The sequence below is a fragment of the Homo sapiens genome, chromosome 11 (assembly GCF_000001405.40).
Source record: "Homo sapiens chromosome 11, GRCh38.p14 Primary Assembly".
NCBI lineage: Eukaryota > Metazoa > Chordata > Mammalia > Primates > Hominidae > Homo > Homo sapiens.
Window position 1 is genome coordinate 90,718,544 of NC_000011.10, and position 20,103 is coordinate 90,738,646.

The 20,103-nt window shown below is 34.0% G+C and overlaps 1 long non-coding RNA gene across 1 annotated transcript in view, besides 1 other annotated feature; it reads left to right on the plus strand.

The window, feature by feature from the left end:
• The window catches only part of DISC1FP1 (DISC1 fusion partner 1), a 663,821-nt gene that overhangs the window by 467,312 nt on the left and 176,406 nt on the right, over positions 1 to 20,103 (plus strand). The gene's annotated exons all lie outside the window — the stretch shown is intronic.
• Positions 18,952 to 19,453: an enhancer, noted in NCBI's record as "NANOG hESC enhancer chr11:90470663-90471164 (GRCh37/hg19 assembly coordinates)". NCBI's record gives its function as "activates a minimal SCP1, AML or CMV promoter by ChIP-STARR-seq in primed H9 embryonic stem cells {active_cell/tissue: H9 hESC(primed)}" and the evidence as "EXISTENCE:reporter gene assay evidence [ECO:0000049][PMID:30033119]".

The following is a 20,103-nucleotide window of genomic DNA, read 5'->3' on the forward strand; positions in this document are numbered from 1 at the left end:
AACCAAAGAACAAGGCAATTAACTCATTCCACTGAGATTGGGAACAGAAAAATGTAGAACTGTGACAGTTAATATTGAGTGTCAACTTGATTGGATTGAAGGATGCAAAGTATTATTCTGGGTGTGTCTGTGAAAGTGTTGTCAAAGGAGATTAACATTTGAGTCAGTGGACTGGGAGAGGCAGACCCACCTTCGATCTGAGTATGTACCATCTAATCAGCTGCCAGTGTAGCTAGAATAAAAGCAGGCAGAGGACTGTAGAAGGACTAGATTGGCTGAGTCTTCATCTGTCTCCCATGCTGGATGCTTACTCCCCTCGAACATGGGACATCAAGTTCTTCAGCTTTTGGACTTTGGGACTTGCACCAGTGGTTTGCCAGGGGATCTTGGGCCTTCAGCCACAGACTGAAGCCTGCACTGTTGGCTTCCCTACTTTTGAGGTTTTAGGACTTGGAATGGCTTCCTGGTTCCTCAGCTTGCAGATAGCCTGTTGTGAGACTTTACTTTGTGATCATATAGTGAATAAACCTTAATAAACTCCCTTTCATTTATACGTCTATCCTATTAGTGCTGTCCCTCTAGAGAACCCTAATACAAGAACTAAGAGTATTTTTTCTGATTTTTTTAAATAATTTCTTGAAAACTGGGAATGATAGATTAACTAAAAAAGAAAGATCCATGTTGTTTAGTGAATTCTAAATTGTCTACAATTAAATTTCTTTAATTTTTTTAAAACTTTTGGACTCTTTGCTATAAACTACATTGTTTTTAACTGAAAATACTTTCTCCACACATGTCAAGTTATATGGTAGATCACAGAAAATGTTTCTAATCAAATGTACTTTAATTAAATTTATTTTCTATTGAAATGAATAGATAGTTTATATTTTATTTCAAATATCTTCACAGGCTCTGGTTTTCATTTTCATCAAAGTACCACTCTCTTGTCTACTTAAAATGATTTTGGAAGCTTTATGTCATTTGAGTTTATGGATTTATTTTTACTTTCCTCTTATTCTGGCACAGAATATGAATTTGTTGATATAAAATTAAGAATTTCATTAAATATTTTTCACAAGTTGAAATATTCCAAACTAAAATTATTGGATTCAAAATTAAATGTTTTACACTATTTGAGCTCAAGTTATTTAAATTTTTTGTGTTGCAAGTTAATGTTTTCTGTGATAGCATTTGTTGAATACTTATATTTAACACATTTAACTCATTTTGAATATGGGGCAACTATATTTAGAGGCTATTTTTAAAAGACATTCTAGCAAAACACCAAGAATAGGCAATTCAATCTTGAATGAAAGCAAAATTAGAAGATGGACTACCCAACTTTATGACCTACTATAAGGGTACAGTGATCAAGACAGTGTGGTATTAGTGAAACAATATACCGATACATTAATGGAGCAGAGTAGAAAGCCTGGAAATAGACCCACATAAAAAGAGTTAACTGATCTTTGATAAAGAAACAAAGGCAATGCAATGACACAAAGGTGATCTTTATAAAAAAATGGGTATAGAACACCTGGAAATTCACATGCAACAAATAAATCTGACTATAGACCTTAAACCCTTCTCAAAAAATGTAGGTAACTCAAAATGGATCATAGACCTAAATGTAAAATGCAAAACTGTAACACTCTTAGGAAATAACATGAATGAAACCCTAGATGGCCTTCAGTATTTTGATGACCTTTTAGATCCAATATGAAAAACACAATCCATGAAAAATCAATCGATAAGCTGAATTTCATTAAAACTAAAAACTTTTCTCTGTGAAAAACAATGACAAGAAAACTAGAAGGTAAGCCACAGATTGGGAGAAAATATTTGCAAAAGGCACTTCTGAAAAAAAGCTGTTATCCAAAATATACAAAGAACTTCTAACAATTCAGCAATGAACAATGAACAGGCTGATTAAAAGGTGAGCAAAAGACCCAAAAAGACACTTTACCAAAGAAGATATACAGATGTCAAGTAAGCATATAAAAAGATATTCAACAACATGTAACATTAGGGAATTGCAAATTAAAACAATGAGATACCGCTATGCAGTTATAAGAATGACCAAAACCCAGAATACTGACGTCAAATGCTGGAGTGGATGTGGAGCAATAGGAACTATTGTTTATTCCTGGTGGAAATGAAAAATTGTGCATACACTTTTGAAGAAAATTTGGTAGTTTCTTACAAAGCCAAACATACTCTTACCACAGAACCCAATCAAGCTATTTAATATATAGCCAAAGGGATTAAAAATGTATGTCCACACAAAATTTCACACATAACATTTATGGCAGCTTTATTCACAATTGCTAAAACTTGAAAGCAACCAAAATGCCCTTTAGTAGGTGGATGAATAAATAAATGTCATATCTGCAGACAATGTGATATTATTCAGTACTAAAAACAAATGAGCTATCAAGCCATGAGAAGACACAGAGGAAACTTAAATGCACATTACCATGAAGGATGCCAGTCTGAAAAGGCTACATACTATACCATTCCAACTATATGACATTCTAGCAAAGGAAAAACAATAGAGACATTAAAAAGATCAGTGGCTGCCAGGGTTTAGGGAGGAGGGAGAGAAAACAGGCAGAGCACAGATGGTTTTTACAACAATGAAACTATTTTCTATGATAATGTAATAACTATTTTCTGTGATAATGTAATAGTAGATACTTGTCATTAAACATCTGTCAAAACCTGTAAAATGTATAACACTAAGAGTGAACTCTAATGTAAACTATGGACTTTGGGTTAAAATGATGTGTCAATGTAGATTTATTGACAGTAACCCACATAACAATTTGGTGTGGGATGTTGATAGTTGGGGAGTTTGAGCATATGTGGAGACAGAGGGTTTACAGGAACTCTCTGTACTTTCCATTCTGAACCTAAAAGGGCTCTAAAAATTAAAGTTTATTAATTTATAAAGCAAAAGTGATTCTAAGATACTAATATTTCTTTTAAGTGTAGTTTCCAAAGTCTCAAACATTTCTAAAATTTAATTGGCTAGCAATGAAGACAGAAAACATGGACGGTCATGCTGCAGTACATTTTTAATAGACATCAGTATACTCACAAAAATTATATTTTAGTTATATTAACTGTGTGCATATATGACAATTTTTTAACTTTGATAACTGTGGCTTCTATTTTAATTTCTGAAATATTTAAAATTCTTTAGATGAAATTTTGAGTTGTATAATTGTTGCAACAAAATCTGAGTACTTTGTAATTTCTACTTCACAAATTTCTTAATTTGATGAGAATGTCATTTTTACCATGATGCTGTGCTACATCAAAATTTATATCCATATCTTTACCAAAATAATTCATAATTTTTAATCCAATATTAAACTTTTTAAATGAATTTACATGAAAAATAATATTGGTTGTTTTATCTTAAACAGATAAGACTTCCAAAAAATTTATCTGAGTCCACAAATGTGATATAAAAATGATTAATTATTGGAAATAACTGATATTTTATTCTAAGTACTTAATGGCACTGATATAAAACAATTACCATGTAATTGTGTGGAAATTTCCTTTAATGAAATCAATGAATAACCAGTTATTATGTCATTTTAGTATGTGCACAAAAATCTTGGAATAAGAAAGAGCAAAATTAGCCCACAAAGCAGTTATTTTATCTAAATTGCAGTATTCACATGTGTGATAAAAGTTGAAAACTATATATTATGCCAGTTAAATGATCAATTGAAACTTGCTTAAAAATTGGAAAGTCAGTATTTATTTTTAAATTAATTTTGTACTTACATTTTTTCATTCTTCAATCCTACAAAAATGGATTTAGCAGAATCTAACAAGAAAAATAAATGATTTTAGATATATAGTCACTATTGGGAACGGGTGCTCAATGTCGCAAAATCAGCACTGAGACAAAGGATCTCTCAGCAAGACTAGTTTACTTTCTGCAGAAAGGGTGCCGCTTGCTAGCAGTCTTGCCATGAGAGCACACATGAACAAAGGAGACAGGGTCATTTATAACCTGATGTGTCCACTCTACTGCTGTGTCCGGTTTCCATTAGCTGGAACAGGACCTCACATTCTGTACTCAAACCGATTGGCTAGCAACTTAGAACTTCCCAAAAGAGGCAAAAGCAGAAGATAACAAAGGAAGAGAGGAAGTAACTTGCGTAATGCTGAGAGAGGCAAAAACACTTCCAAATAAGGAAGAGGAATAGGCTATGACCTAATGCTTGGACCACTTCAGTCATGCCAGGGCAAATATCTAGGCTAAAATATGGGAGTTAAGAACACAGAGTATATTGATTTCTTTATTACAGCTAGCAAATATTTAAGAATATTAACACAGGTGTTTGAGTAAATTTTGCTTCTAAGAGAGGTTATTATCTATTCTCAGTTGGACTGGGAGGAAAGTCCCTTTGAAGAGGAACCTCTACTTATTTCATTTTCTACAGTCACCCTACCAAAATGGAAAAAAAAGTGTGGCAAAAATATTTAGGCTACTTAATACCTTAATATACACTATGACAGGAATGCTCAACCTTTATTTTCTGTATATATTTTGCATACAATTAACCTTCTCTTTTTTTTTTGGCATTTGTCCTTGATTCCTAATGACTGAAATTCACCTGTTTTTTTTGTTGTTGTTGTTTTTTGTTTTTTGACACAGAGTCTCTCTCTGTCACCCAGGCTGGAGTGCAGTGGTGTGATCTCTGCTCACTGCCAGCTCCACCTCCCGGGTTCAAGCCATTCTCCTGCCTCAGCTGGGACTACAGGTGCCCACCACCACACTTGGCTAATTTTTTGTATTTTTAGTGGAGGTGGTGTTTCACCATGTTATCCAGGATGGTCTCGATCTCCTGACCTCGTGATCCACCCGCCTCAGCCTCCCAAAGTGCTGAGATTACAGGCGTGAGCCACCTCACGTGGCCCATTCACCTGATTTCTTTATGCATCTTTCAGGTCAGATCAGAGTCCACAGCTAACTTAGCTCAGAACCAAGTAAATGGGAGTTAGAGGAACATCAGATCCTTCTCTCACTACCATTCAAGACTGAAGGGATTTAGCTGTCTCTAGCCACTCATTTCCAAATGACTTAGTTTTATCAGCAAGTACCTTTGCATACTGCCCTTGAGGGTGTAGGTTTCAAAATATTCTAAAAAACAGAAATATGATACCGCTGACTGCCTTTTTGATTTAACTTTGCATAAAAGTGTACATAAATGCATAACATGGTGCTAGAAAAATGTGGAAGACACTGGAAATGCAAAGTCGGTGGGAGGTCTATCTAATCCTGGGTTATTGTCATAAAAAATTGGTAATAATTTATTAAAAATTAAAATTACGGGACAAATATTACATTTTAAGGAACATTATAACAGCAGGTGTACATGAATACTATCCTGGGCAAACTGAAACATACATTCTCACATTCCTCATGTAACCTAATAGCATATGCTGTTTGCTGCAATGAGAGCTAAAGGAAGAAGCACCACTTGTCTTCTCCAAGTACAGTATTCTTATAATCAGATTCTACATAACCAAGTCTATTTGCAAAGCATTCCAGAATTATTAATTGAAGAAATAAACAGTTGGTGTCAGAGAGTAGTTACAATTAAATATTTATAAAGATTTATTAAAATAAAGTAAATGAAAGTATTCTGTTCCAAGAAAGAGAACTTAAATATAAAGTTTGTTAAACATTCCCTAAGACTAGACATTTGATCAGTCCTGCTTTCTGAACTACTTTGTATTTTTTATCTGACTAGATACTACTGGAAAGCAAAGATCTCATTTTCTATGGTTCTTTTTTTAAAAAAAATTTAAGTTCTGTGATACATGTGCAGAACATGCAGGTTTGTAACATAAGTATACAAGCAAACCTCTATGATTCTTAGTAAGTGTAATTGTCTTACTGCTACAGCGTTGTTGCAAGAAATGAAGATAACTTCTTTCTTTCTTTCTTTCTTTCTTTTTTTTTTTTTTTTTTTTGAGTTGGAGTCCCACTCTGTCACCCAGGATGGAGTGCAGTGGTTCCATCTCGGACCAGTGCAACCTCCGACTCCCAGGTTCAAGCAATTCTCTTGCCTCAGCCTCCTGAATAGTTGGGATTACAGGCATCCACCACCATGCCTGGCTGATTATTATTATTATTTTTATTTTTAATAGAGATGGGGTTTTGCCATGTTGGCCAAGCTGGTCTCAAACTCCTGACCTCAGGTGATCTGCCTGCCTCGGCCTCCCAAAATGCTGGGATTACAGGCATGAGCCACTGCACCTGGCTAGGAATTTCTTTACTGTAGTTGAGTTGAAAGTTAACCATGGCAGCTCTCTTTAGTTCCACATTTAAATGATGTCTTTAATGTTTAAATTATTTTAATAATAATAATACTCTATTTATAATGCAGAGCGCTTTCAGCAATTCTTTTAGTTAATGTTTGCTTTTGTCATATTGGACCCTTCATTACAGGAAAACTAACAATTAACGATATATTAAAATTCTTAGGTCTACTAAACTTTATTGGTAACAATTTTGTCCTTATTTTATTATTTAGTATTGCTAACCCATTGGCCTATGTATTAATTTACTAATGTTGTTTAAAGAATAGTATGGAAAGTGTTTATTTTGTCAAATCTGTAGGTATGATAATTAATGCTTATATCACAGCAAAACTTCAGTTTTGTTGGTAGTATTTTCCATAGTTTGAGCAAATATACAAAAATACATTGAAAAAGAATAATTGGATTATGTATTTGAATTATTAGGACAATATAGTAATACATGCTAATAATTATGACTAAATAGTTTAGTCATAGGTTAAATAAAACAAAGCTTTATTTTACAACTTACAAGAGAACAAGTGAAAAAAGACTGATAATGCTTGTCGTGTTTCCCTGCAGTCAACAGGAGTCTCCCTGATAGGAATGTACAACATTGGTGATATAGAAAAAGAATGAGCGCCTAAGGATACTGAGTAATAGGAATTGAGATGAACCAAAAACATTCATAATTATAGAATTAATAATATATTTAATGTATCTTTTACATTTTGATTTATTTTTTACCAAGCATATTGTGTAGGATATGTAATGTTATAGGTAGTAATTACAAATGTGTAATAAATTTAATCCATAATCTCACTGATTTAATGTAACAAATATTTATTTCTTGCTTACTTTGTATGTCTGGTGAACATCTGGCAAGTACTCTGATCCACACGGTCACTCCAGCATTCAGGCTGATGGAAGTTTGTCATTTCTGTGTCAGGAAAACAAAAGACTGGAGATCATAATTTGATTTTATTTTTTTCCTGTCTCATCCCAGAAGTAAAACTTACGAAATGTAGTATTTGTAAAAATTTTAGTCTCCATGTCTCTGTGATTATAAATATATATATATATATATATATATATATATATATATATTTCAAGTGGTTTAATGTCATGTTCACATACAAAACACTTTCTGAAAGTTATAAAACTAGTAAGTAAACCTAGTGAATAGAGATGACACTGAAACCCAAGTCTCTCTTCTCTAACATTCTCTTTCCAATATAGCACATTGCCTCAGTAGGTTGAGAAGTAATTCCAAATTTACTACCAAATGTCAACTTTCTGCTTTTATTAGAATTATTAAGAAAGATCCTTGAGGAAAGTCTATTTTTACTACATAATATAGTTCTATTACTATTTTGAAAGTAAAATTAAAAAGTGATTCTAAAAAAGAGTGTATACTTGGATACATGTTAATGTAGTCAGGTCAAGTTTTTTTTTTTTTCAGTGAGAAAGAGATAAAAGAGGTGTGTATACACACACACACACACACACACACACACACACACACACACACATACTTGATTACTGTGAGGGCTATTCTCTCAAAAGGATTACTTCTGCTTTCTAACTACTCTCTTTCCATTTAATTTGTTTCAATATTTGTCACGTTATAGTTATCTCCATGGTGATGAACTGTGATATTGCAAACATTAGCTAAATCAGGCTGGAGGAAAAGATAATTGGGGAACAAAGGGCTCTTGGTCCACAGACAAATAATCTGGTACACATCAATTATGAAAAAGTTTGAAGGAAAATAAAAGAATACTATAAAAGGATTCTAATGATCACATATGATATAAAAAGAAGAGAAAATTGAAAATTTAGCTTTCCAAAGGCCTTAGAAGTTATAAACTGAGCAATAAGCTCTCAATATAGTAGTAATCACTATCTTTTTAGGATATTGGCAATGCTTCAGATAATAAGGAAATCCATGTCATTTTTGATTGGATAAGAAGAATGATATATTTTTGAGATACTTACAGAGACATAAGAAATGTAAATAAATAGGAATAGTTTTTTTTTCTTTTAAACCTCACAAGGTTAATTTCGTTGTATTGCTTTATTTAATGGATTAAGGGAAATCCATTAGTCAGTTTATCTGTTCAAATTTCAGAAGTCATTATGGAGACACTCTCCCCTTTTTCTTTTTGAAATTTACTATGTTTGTGTTACCTGCAGTAGAATCCCATATGCAAACAATTAAAATATATTGTACCATATATTAAAAGATAAATGTTCTTCGTTCCCTATTTCCTCCAGGAAAGTATTATTAGTGCCCTTGCCAGAGAGGTATTTTAGACAAACTTTCCTGATTCTATTAAATGGTAAGCCCTTTAATCACCTTTGACACCCTCCATTCCAATATATCAAATCCCTGAAAATTATGCATTTATGTATTCAACTACTAAATGAATATTTGCTGAGTTTCCAGTATGTATAGGCACAATTCTAGTGTTTATCTTCCATAGTATAAGGAGAGTCAGTAAGTTGACATTATATTTAAAAGTCCTCTAAAATACCATTCCAATATATGTTTATACAATATACTTTCTCTGCACAAACACATATTCCTACAAAACACAGACATATGAAATCATACCTTCAAATCACATTTTAGAGTCAGTATGTACTTTTTAAAACTTTTATTTTAAGTTCAGGGTACATGTACAGGTTTGTTATATAGGTAAACTTGTGTCGGGGGCGGGGGTTTGTACAGATTATTTTGTGACCCAGACAGATATTAAACCTAATACCCATCAATTGTATTTCCTGATCCTCTCTCTTCTCCCACCCTCTACCCTCTGATAGGCCCCAGCGTCTTTTATTCTGCTCGGTGTGTCCCTATGTTCTCATTTGGCTACCACTTATAAATGAGAACAGGTGTTATTTGATTTTCTGTTCCTGTGTTAGTTTGCTAAGAATAATGGCCTCCAAGCTAGATCCATATTCTTCTTTTTATGGCTGCATATTATTTCATGGTGTATATGTACCACATTTTATTTATCCAGTCTACCATTGATGGGCATTTAGGTCTATTCCATGTCTTGGCTATTGTAAATAGTGCTGCAGTGAACATTTGTGTGCATGTGTCTTTATAACAAAATGATTTCTATTCCTTTGGGTATATACCCAGTAATGGGATTACTGGGTCAAATGGTGGATATATTTTTAGGTCTTGGTGGAATTGCCACACAGTTTTCCACAATGGTTGAACTATTTACACTCCTGATAGTGTATAAGCATTCCTTTTCCTCTGCAATCTCACCAGCACCTATTATTTTTTGACTTTTTAATAATAGCCATTCTAACTAGTATGAGATGGTATCTCATTGTGGTTTTGTTTTGTGTTTCTCTAATGATCAGCGATGTTGAGTTTTTTTTTCATATTCTTGTTGGCTGCTGTATGTCTTCTTTTGAAAAGTATCTGTCCATGTCCCTTGCCACTTTTTAATGGGATTGTTGTGGTTTTTGTTTTTTTCTTTTTCTTGTAAATTTGTTGAAGTTCTTTTTACATGCTGGTTCCTAGACGTTTGTAAGATACATGGTTTGCAAAAATTTTCTCCCATTCTGTAGGTGGTCTGTTTACTCTATTGAAAATTTTGTGGTGGTGGTGGTGGTGGTGGTGGTGGTGGTGGTGGTGCAGAAGCTTCTTTGTTTAATTAGATCTCATATGTCAACTTTTGCTTTTATTTGCAATTGCTTTTGGCATCTTTGTTATGAAACATTTGCCCATTTCTTTTTTTTTTTTTTTCTTTTTTTTGAGACGGAGTCTCGCTGTCGCCCAGGCTGGAGTGCAGTGGCGCGATCTCGGCTCACGTCCCCCGGGGTTCACGCCATTCTCCTGCCTCAGCCTCCTGAGTAGCTGGGACTACAGGCGCCTGCCACCTCGCCCAGCTAATTTTTTGTATTTTTAGTAGAGACAGGGTTTCACCGTGTTAGTCAGGATGGCCTCGATTCCCTGACCTCATGATCCGCCCGCCTCGGCCTCCCAAAGTGCTGGGATTACAGGCATGAGCTACCGCGCCCAGCCCATTTGCCCATTTCTATATCAAGAAAGAGATTGCCTAGGTTGTCTTTCAGGGTTTTTACAGCTTTGAGATTTACATTTAAGTCTTTAATCCATCCTGCGTTATTTTTTTTTATATGGTATGAAGAAGGGATACAGTTTCAGTCTTCTCTATATGCCTAGCCAATTATCTCAGCCCCATTTTATTGCTTGTTTCGGTCAGCTTTGTTTAATATCAGATAGCTGTAGGTATGTGGCCTTATTTTTGGGCTCTTGATTCTGCTCCAGTAGTATTGGTGCCTGTTTTTGTACCAGTACTATGCTGTTTTGGTTTCTGTAGCCCTGTAGTATAGTTTGACATGAGATGGTATGATGCTTTTAGCTTTATTCTTTTGGCTTAGGGTTGCCTTGGCTATTTGGGCTCCTTTTTTGTTCCATATGATTTTTAAAATGTTTTCTAGTTCTATGAAGGATGTAACTGGTAGTTTGATAGAAATAACATTGAATCCATAAATTGCTTTGGGCAGTATGGGCATTTTAATATTGATTCTTCCTATCCATGAACATGGAATGTTCTCCCATCTATTTGTGTCATCTTTAACTTCTTTGAGCAATGTTTTGCAGTCCTCCTTGTAGAAATCTTTTACCTCCTTGGTTAGCTGTATTCCTAGGTATGTTATTCTTTGTGGCAATAGTGAATGGGATTGCATTCTGGATTTGGCTCTCAGTTTGACTGTTGTTGGAGTATAAGAATGCTAGTAATTTTGGTACATTGATTTTGTATCCTGGGATTTTGCTAAAGTTTTTTGTCAGCTTAAGGAGCTTTGGGGCTGAGACTATGGCATTGTCTAGATATAGATCTTGCCATCTGCAAACAGGGGTACTTTGACTTCCTGTCTTTCTACTTGGGTGACCTTTATTTCTTTCTCTTGTTTCACTAAAACGGTTGTCAAAGTAATTACCGATGACAGCTGTAGGCTTCAATCCAAGGAACATATTTCTGTACTTACCTTACTCAGGTCTTCCTTTTTGAGTTACTTTTCCACTGGCCTCCTAGGTAACATGCCCTTTTAACTTTCTTCCCACTCTGTCTGCTACTTCTAAAACTCTGTCGCAGAATTATTAGTGTTGGCGTTACTCAACCCTCAATCTTAGAGCCACAGTACTTTTCATTCCATACACAAATAACTCACAATCTACTGTGTTTAGTACAAAATCTCCTCTGATTCACTGACCTATATTTTCAAGTATCTGCTGAAATTTAGTGGCTGAACTGCACTTCAAACTCAATATGTTGAACTCAGATGTTCTTATCTATTATTATTCCATGGCTTCTTATCTTCATCAGAGAAGTATACCCTCTTCTATTCAAACAGCAAATCAAAGACCTAAAAATGTTATTTTAGACTTCTTTTTACCTTCACTCAACATACCAAAATCTATCTTCAATTTCTATTACTTTACTTCCAAATAGTCTTCAAATTCAGTTGCTTACCTCTGTGTTTTCAGTGCCAAACTCACTAGTCCAAGTAGCCATTAACTTTTGACTAGAGCTTGGCAAAAAAATAATAACATGTTTTTCTGCATAAATTCTATTTTTCTTTCCTAGTTGTCCTCCATAATGCTGCCAGGGTAATCTGTTCACAACACAAAACTACTTATATTATATTCCTGTTTAAAGTGGCTCACTACTGTTTTGAGGAAGATATAAATATGTAACTTGGCCATAAAATAAAGACTTCCTCCTTCTCAGCATCAACATATATTATTCCACTTTGCTTTGTTTTTTAAATTAGCCTCCTCTAACATTTTTTCATCTGTCATGCTTTCTCTCTATTTCACATCTTTGGAAATCTATGGCATGGATGGTTGTGATCATAGAATGACATGATTAACAGCATGGTATTGAATAACAGAGACATGTGTGAATCTGTGATATATTTACTTGGTTTATAATTTAAAGGAAATGCCTTATGTTCTTTTTTCTCTCTTTTTTTTTAGAGATGAGGTCTTGCTAAGTTATCTAGGCTGCCTCAAACCCCTGGGCTCAAGTGATCCTCCCACCTCAGCCACATGAGTAGCTGAGACTACACCACTGCACTTGGCTTCTTATCATTTTTAAGCTTTAATTACTTTATTATAGAAATGGACTTAGTAGTAATATTAACTTTATAGGTTTCCTGGGTATATTAAATAATGATTTTAAAAATAACGAGCTAAAATTCAACATGTCAGTCACTGGTTTTGTGCATTTTGACAAGTCATATATCATTTTTAGATATATTAGTATCCTAATCAGTAATAGAATGTTGGGCTGCATATGTTATATAGTGGATGTATTAATGTTGATATGAAGTTCTTATTAATGTTAAAAAATATTGGCTAAAAGTAGAAAATAATCTTTTCCCCTTTTGACTTCAGTTTTTTGGCAAATAGTTATTTTTGAATAATACCATTACCAAATTCAGATAAATTGAATGTTGGAAAGTTAGAAAATTTTGTGCCTTAGTTTAATCAGTGCCCCAGAAACTTACTATGCATTTTAATTATCTTAGGATATTTTAAAAATACAAAAACTAATTTATTTAATCGAGTGGTTTTCAAAATTCTACATTTCCAGCCATCTCCCAGATGATGCTGTGATTCCTACCTTTAATTTACCTTTTAGTCATAGTAGTATAGATGGATAGATAACATATTATCAGTATTAATCAATCTTTGAACATTTGAACATGGTGTATTTCCTAACTATATTATGTTGTAAGAAAAAAATAAGTATAAGTCATATGAGTATCCTTCCCATCATGGTAATTAAAAAGGAAGATTAATTTTTTTTGGCCAGACACGGTGAGTCATGCCTCTAATCTCAGCTCTTTGGGAGGCCCAGGCAGGGGCATTGCTCGAGCCCAGGAGTTAGAGACCAGCCTGGGCAACAAAGTGAGACCTCATCTCTACTTAAAATAAATAAATAAGCCAGACATGGTGGCACACACCTGTAGTACCAGCTACTTTGGAAGCTGAGGTGGGAAGATCACATGAGCCTGGTCAATTGATGCTGCAGTGAGCTGTGATTGCACTACAGCACTCCAGCCTGGGTGACAAAACAAGACCCTGACAAAAAAAAATAGATTAACTTTTTAATGGAAGAAATTTTATTGAGAAAATTTAAATTGTTGTGATTGGTGCAAATCAAATGGACAGTTGCATCATGCTATATACATTGTAGATATGCAGTAAGCACTTAAAATGGGAATTCAATAAATGGATAGATTTTTACTGGCATTAATAATTAGGATAGGATTAAGAAGATTTGAGTTGAGATTTGGTGGATAGGTAGATACGATTCTTTACATACACAAAAAAGGAAAATTTGGGATACAAAATAACTTTGAACAAAGTCACAGAAGCGAGAATGAAATTGGTACATGTAGAAATATCAGGGGGAGTTCAAGTGAATTTACAGAACGTGGAAAAATTTGGTTCTATGCAGCATAGAGCTTATAAAGATTTGGTTCTCGGCAGCAGTGTTTTGACATGCTAGTAAGTCTTGGTGTGTTATGTGCAATTTGCTACTTAGATGGTTTTAAGTACTCAATATTCATGTCATATAAATTAAGGTAAGGTCAGCATTCAATATTATTTGTAGAATAACAATATTCAGTTGCATGTCAATTCTATTCCTTGAATTCCAGAGGAAAATGGAGCAATGGCTGGCATTTCATGGAATTTCATATTGGGAAGTATGTCACATAGACAAATGTCGGGTTGGCTTTAGCTCAAGCCATTGCTTCTTCATGCCAGACTTTCCATCTGTCATAGGTGAATGTCATTGCTTACATATGTAATAGCAGTATAAAACTTAGACTGCTCTGTGGTGGAGACTAATGCCTGACACATAGTAGGGACTCAAAAAATACTCGCTGATTGAATGAAAGAATGTCCACATATTAGGCAGGATGGGCTCTGAATACAGAAATTCTTCATGCTAAAGCATAGTATTAGTTGTAATAACTTTTGATAGGAAAGTGTATATTGATATTGCCTTATTTTGTGGGAAGAACCACACACATTTATTAAAAATTCTGTCTTATTACCAACCACATTTAATAATAAAAAGATTAGGATAACTGAGCAGGTAAATTAATATTTTCAGAAAGACAATCCTTATCTGGAGCCCCTATATCTTTGACATATATGAGCAATTTTAATGCTGTAATCTTCCAAATCCTGAAAGCCAGGATTATCTGAGAGACTGTGCAACAGTTTACTTAAGGAAACACTAATATTTAGATGCATTCCAGGTTCCATTGGAAGGATCTGTCATTCAATTAAGCATCACTAATGTACCAATTGTTTTCCTGATTGAAAATACAAGTATTTATATTCTCTCATGCTTCAACGCATCTGTTGCCCCAAGTACCAATGTGATACTGTTCAAATTAAATTAGAATTTCAATATTGCCACCATTTTTATGTCACTTCTAAACTAGCAATGTAATTATATACACCTTTCTTCTGGTATTTATTATTAATAAGGAGATAATAAAGTGGGTGATTAAGCATTTGCCAGTTGCTTCTGTAATCACTGGACCAGCCTGAGGGGAATAGGTTCAATAACATGTCACCAAAAGGATAAAATCTTAATGAGTCATTAACTAGTGATGGAATTGTGAGGCACAGATCAGATAGAGTTATTTTCTTGGCCATAGAAGGGAGAGTTGAGGCTGAGAAAATAATTCATATGACATTTCATAAGAGAAATGAATACATAGACTCTAATTCTAGATTTTTTTATTTTCTCACCTTCAGATGCTCTGAAATATAGGTGAATTATCTTCCCCTTTATCATGAAATACGTTAAGTACGAATTATTTAGGAAACAATAATTCCAAACATCTTTGTACCTTTGAATCTGTTCATTCTAATTAACACAACAGTTATCTTGTCTAACAACTTCCTAGTTTTGAGTCCCTTAGTAGTTTTTTGTCTTCCATTGCAAAGCAGATAGGTTACCAAAAGTAACAACCACTTCTCAATTTTTATGTCCTTTAATTCATGTGGGTTAGAAATATATTTATATACTTATCAAGATGGTTGATGTAGTGCAGATTCTATTGTAGCCTCTACAACTCAAGTCACTTGAGTTACTGAAAGATTAATTCCCAGTTGGCATGAGGGGCACAGCTTGTGTCCTTGTGGTACATAAATGACAGTGCCCTAGGAGAATCCCTAAGATATGACTACTCTTTTAGGTAGCCAGCCAAATCATTAATGAAACTTATAAACCTAGCCTTAGATACCAGCTGGAGGATTTAATGGCCTCTGACTAACGGAGGGTAAAAAGAATCACAACCAGTCTGGCTGCTACATGGCTGGAAAAACATTTGTAGGTCCTAGGGAGATTGTCTTAGAGAGTATTGAGGAGTGGCATGATGGCATATTTTAAATAATTCACCTGGGAGACTTCGCTTGTAAGAAAGATAAATAAAAATCACTTTAGAGAGAGTGTTTTTGAGGATCTTTATTAAGCTCAAGAGAGAAAAAAACTGTCAAAGTAATGGAGACTTCAAACGTGAATTTTCTACTATGTGAGATAGTATGCTTCCCTATCTTTATTTTTAAAAGTATGAATGATTACTTATCAGAGATGTAATTTTTGTGATTTTTGCATTTTATATTAAATATCTTGTGTTCTGCATAAGATTGTTCTGGTAATCAAGTGACTTAATACACATAAATCACATAGAACAGCCTCTGCGACATAGAAAATGCTTAAAACTGGTAGTATTCAACTCTTCTATTATCAATAATTTTATAACTGTGTTTTATCAATTATGTGATACAATATTTTTTCATAGTGCATACACTGTCAAATTGAGTTGTGTCTTAAACAGCAGCATTTATTTTCTTTTTTGGTAATATGTAAAATAATAATCTCTTTAAATCAATGGTAGCTTGCATAAAATATGCTATTAAGTTTATTTGTCTTAATACCTGACAATATTTAACTTTCCCTTTGAGATAACACTACCCCACTAATAGCCACCTGTTCAGGAATTCTAATGTTGGATGATATTTATGCAAAAGTTTCCCTGATCATTCTGGAAGTTTCACCTGGCCCAGGGCCAGTCACTCCATAACTTGTCCAGTGACTATGAGGTAGGCACCAGAAAAGAGCTATGCTAAATACTAGCCATGTAAATTTGACTGTTTTCTCTATCATTTGGTACATAGGCAGCTTGCTCAGGAGTAGAAAATGAATGAAACAAATGAATAGAGAGGAATATGGATGCTATAAGAAAGAAAGACTGTGAATGTAATTTATTCCTAGAGCTAGGTTCTTTCCTGTTCTGAGGATTAATAAGACTATAATCTTTAAGATATGTCTAACATCTGTCTAGTTAGGGAAAAAATGTATCAATATCAATCACAAATATAAAGTATATATGTCTGAATTGAAAATGAATTCAAGAAGAATTAAAGATTTAGCAATACCAAGAAGACTTGGAAGAATATCCCCAAAGCAAACCTCTCTTAACAGTTTGGAGGTTTTTATGTTGGTGAGAAGGGTCTCAACAAGTTAATTATTCGTTGTAAGTTCACCATTTTAATAACTGGAGATATTATTAGTCTTGGAAACGTAACCATTATTATCAAGATTTTATGATCACTGAATTTCTCATAGAATGATTGTAAAATGTTTTGCTGACTGATGAAGAGATTCTTTAGAAATATGAGAATGTGACATATCTCTGTACTAGAGACTGCTATATGCACCCCATATTCATTCCCTACTGTTTTATTGTAATAGAACTTTCAGCTTTAAATTCTTTTTTGACAAAACCTCTATTACAATAAAGTAGAGAATGAATATGGGGTGCATAGACATCCAGGCAGAGATTACATTTTCATTTTCCTTGCTATTAGGAAACCGTATGACTAAGTTTTGCTTTAGGGATATGAACAGAAATGATATATGATACTTCTGTGTCACTTGTATATCAATAAGTTGTTTACTCTACTTTTTTCATCTGGTGAAATATGGAGCTGAAATGAAAGCCAGCATTTATTATTCAGGTAAGAGGAATACTCTAGTGAATATAGAACAAGACATAAGGAAGGTAAGCCCTTAGATGACTTCATGCGATAGAGATTCCCTTTTAATCTTGGTCTCTACCTTGGCTTCTGACAAGTTTCCCTTCACCTACTCCCTGCACATTGCCTAGCTACTTCAACACATACATGCCTTTTGTTTATACTTCCTGTCAATCTAGGTATTTGAAAAACTTCTATCTTGTTTCATCCACAATAGTTCTTATCTCCCGGTTCTTAAGGAGCTTAGCCTATTCCATAACTAATGCACTCTATAATATATTTTACATAAGGCTAGATGATGACTCTTTTTTTTTTTTTTTTTTTTTTTTTTTTTTTTTACAGATTGTATGATTGGTTGTTGTAGATTTTTCTCAAATGAAATGTGAGTGTTGTTAAGACTTTTTGCTCACAAAAAATGATATATGCTGAAAAAATATCTCTCAGTATCATGGTACTAAATTTGACCTTGTGAATTAAGATAGCTTTAAATAGCTCAAACTTATTAAATCCAACTCAGCTCATAGATAAGTAGGTAGATAGATACATACATAGATGAAAAAAAGAAAGGAAGACAGAGAGAGAAAAAAGAAAGAAACTTAATTGAGTATGGCCAGCTTTAATCATAGATGTTTCTAGAACGGGCAGCTACGGAGTTGACGCATGAAATCTGCCCAACATGAAATCTGCCCAAGCAGATCAAGAAATCCATGAAAAAAAGAATCATCACTTAGATAAGTATTTTTATAATTTTACAGAAGTTACCATAACTTGAGGGATCACAGGGGAAGATTGTACACACATATTTAGATATTTGGCTTGGGGAATAATTTTGCTAAACGGACCTTATTCCTAAAATAGAATGAACCATACATAGTTGGATTTCAGAATCATTTAATAGTCACAGGAAAATCTACATAAAAGTTTTGGATAAATAAAAAATTTTCTTACTTTGCAATTTTCCTAATTCTCCCAGTGATAATTGCAAGATCACCCAATTGTGATTCATGTTGTAGAAATAACATGTGGCTATAATCAGGAAGGATACAAATGAGAATAATAAAAAGTCCTGGTAGTTGGGTCTACATATTCAACATAAAATGTAGATCAATTACTTCATTCTTTTATTGATTGAGCTGGAAGCAATCTCAGCTCTACTCCCTTGACTCACAAATGAGAAATTAAAGGCCAAACAGTTAGATAATGTAAAAGATTAATCAAGGTCATAATAATAATTAGGGACAGCATTAAGGCTAGAACCTTGTTTACCTGGTTTCCAATCCAGGGATCTTCCCACTAAACCTTGTTGTCTTGAGGGGTCTATTTAAAAACAGTCTGGTTAAAATATGACTAGAGAAAAGAGGCAAGTCTCTCCAGGTAGCCCAATCAAATGCAAAATTCCTGAAAGTTCATTCAGATAAAGCACATCTGGCTAGAGCACCAACACATAGCTATAGCAGTGCATGTAAAAGCAAAGAAATTGGAATCTGAACATGACTAGCAGGGTTTGCAAAGTCTGACACCATGAGCAGTGGGATTAGGGCCACATTTTGAGCTGCTGGAAAGAGAGGGGAAGATTTAAGCCCCAAATGGGGCCTAAATGAAGAATAAATCTGTTAGCAGAGCAATTACTCATGTCCTCAGTACACTGCCTCCTTCAAGGATTAGCAGATAAATCTAGGCCTAGGCATTGATGTTTTCTTGGCACATCTTCCTCCTTCTGCACATCAATAACAATGTGTTTACCCAATTATCAGATAATCCCACTTAAATTGATCAATTGATAGCTCCCCAGTCCCTTCAAAGCACTGCTTTGTTTTCTTTGGCCTCAAACACCTAAAAATATTTCTAGAGGTCAGAAAAGTACAAATTGCAAATTTATTATTCTTTGAGTTGCACGATGACCTTTAACCAAGCATTTCAAATCTCTGTGTGGTGCCTTGGAAAAGTGATTTCCATTAAAGTAAACAGGAGTCCAAGGGCAAAAAGCTGAAGGGAGCTTTGAGGTTTAACCCTTTCATGAACTTAGCCCACAGTGGGGAAGAAAAATGGGCAATTGCTTATGGTACTTGTCATTTTTAAATCACCTCACTTTTAAATGTTTTTCTTCCTCTTTTGCTTTATTTTTGCCCCTTGACTTTGCAACTTAACAAAACCCTGTACAAATTATTACAAAGTGATAACTCTTATGGAGAAAATAATTTATTCTTCTCATACATGTGCCATATAAAACATTAGATTAGTTTAATTTAAAGAAGAATGTTACAGATACTCAATTCTTGTTTGTTATCTTTTCACTAACAGATGAGAACTGCTTCAAGTCCAGTGCTTTCATAGTTTTAGGAGGAGTTAACAGACTTAGCAATAAAAAATACAGGATATCCAGTTAAATTTGAATTTAATGCACAGTAGATGGATTAAATTTGTCAAATTAAATGGTAGATCAAACTTAAATTTGATCTACTATGATTTTTTAGTATAAGTATGTCCTAAATATTTCATGAAACATATGTATACTAAAAATGTATGTGTAGTGTATTTAAAGTTCAAATATAAGTGGACACTCTTTAGTCCAATATTATGCCTGGAAATGCAACAATGGGAGAGCCTCTCACATTTTAGTTATTAATGGCGTGATGGTTACCAAACAACAGGGG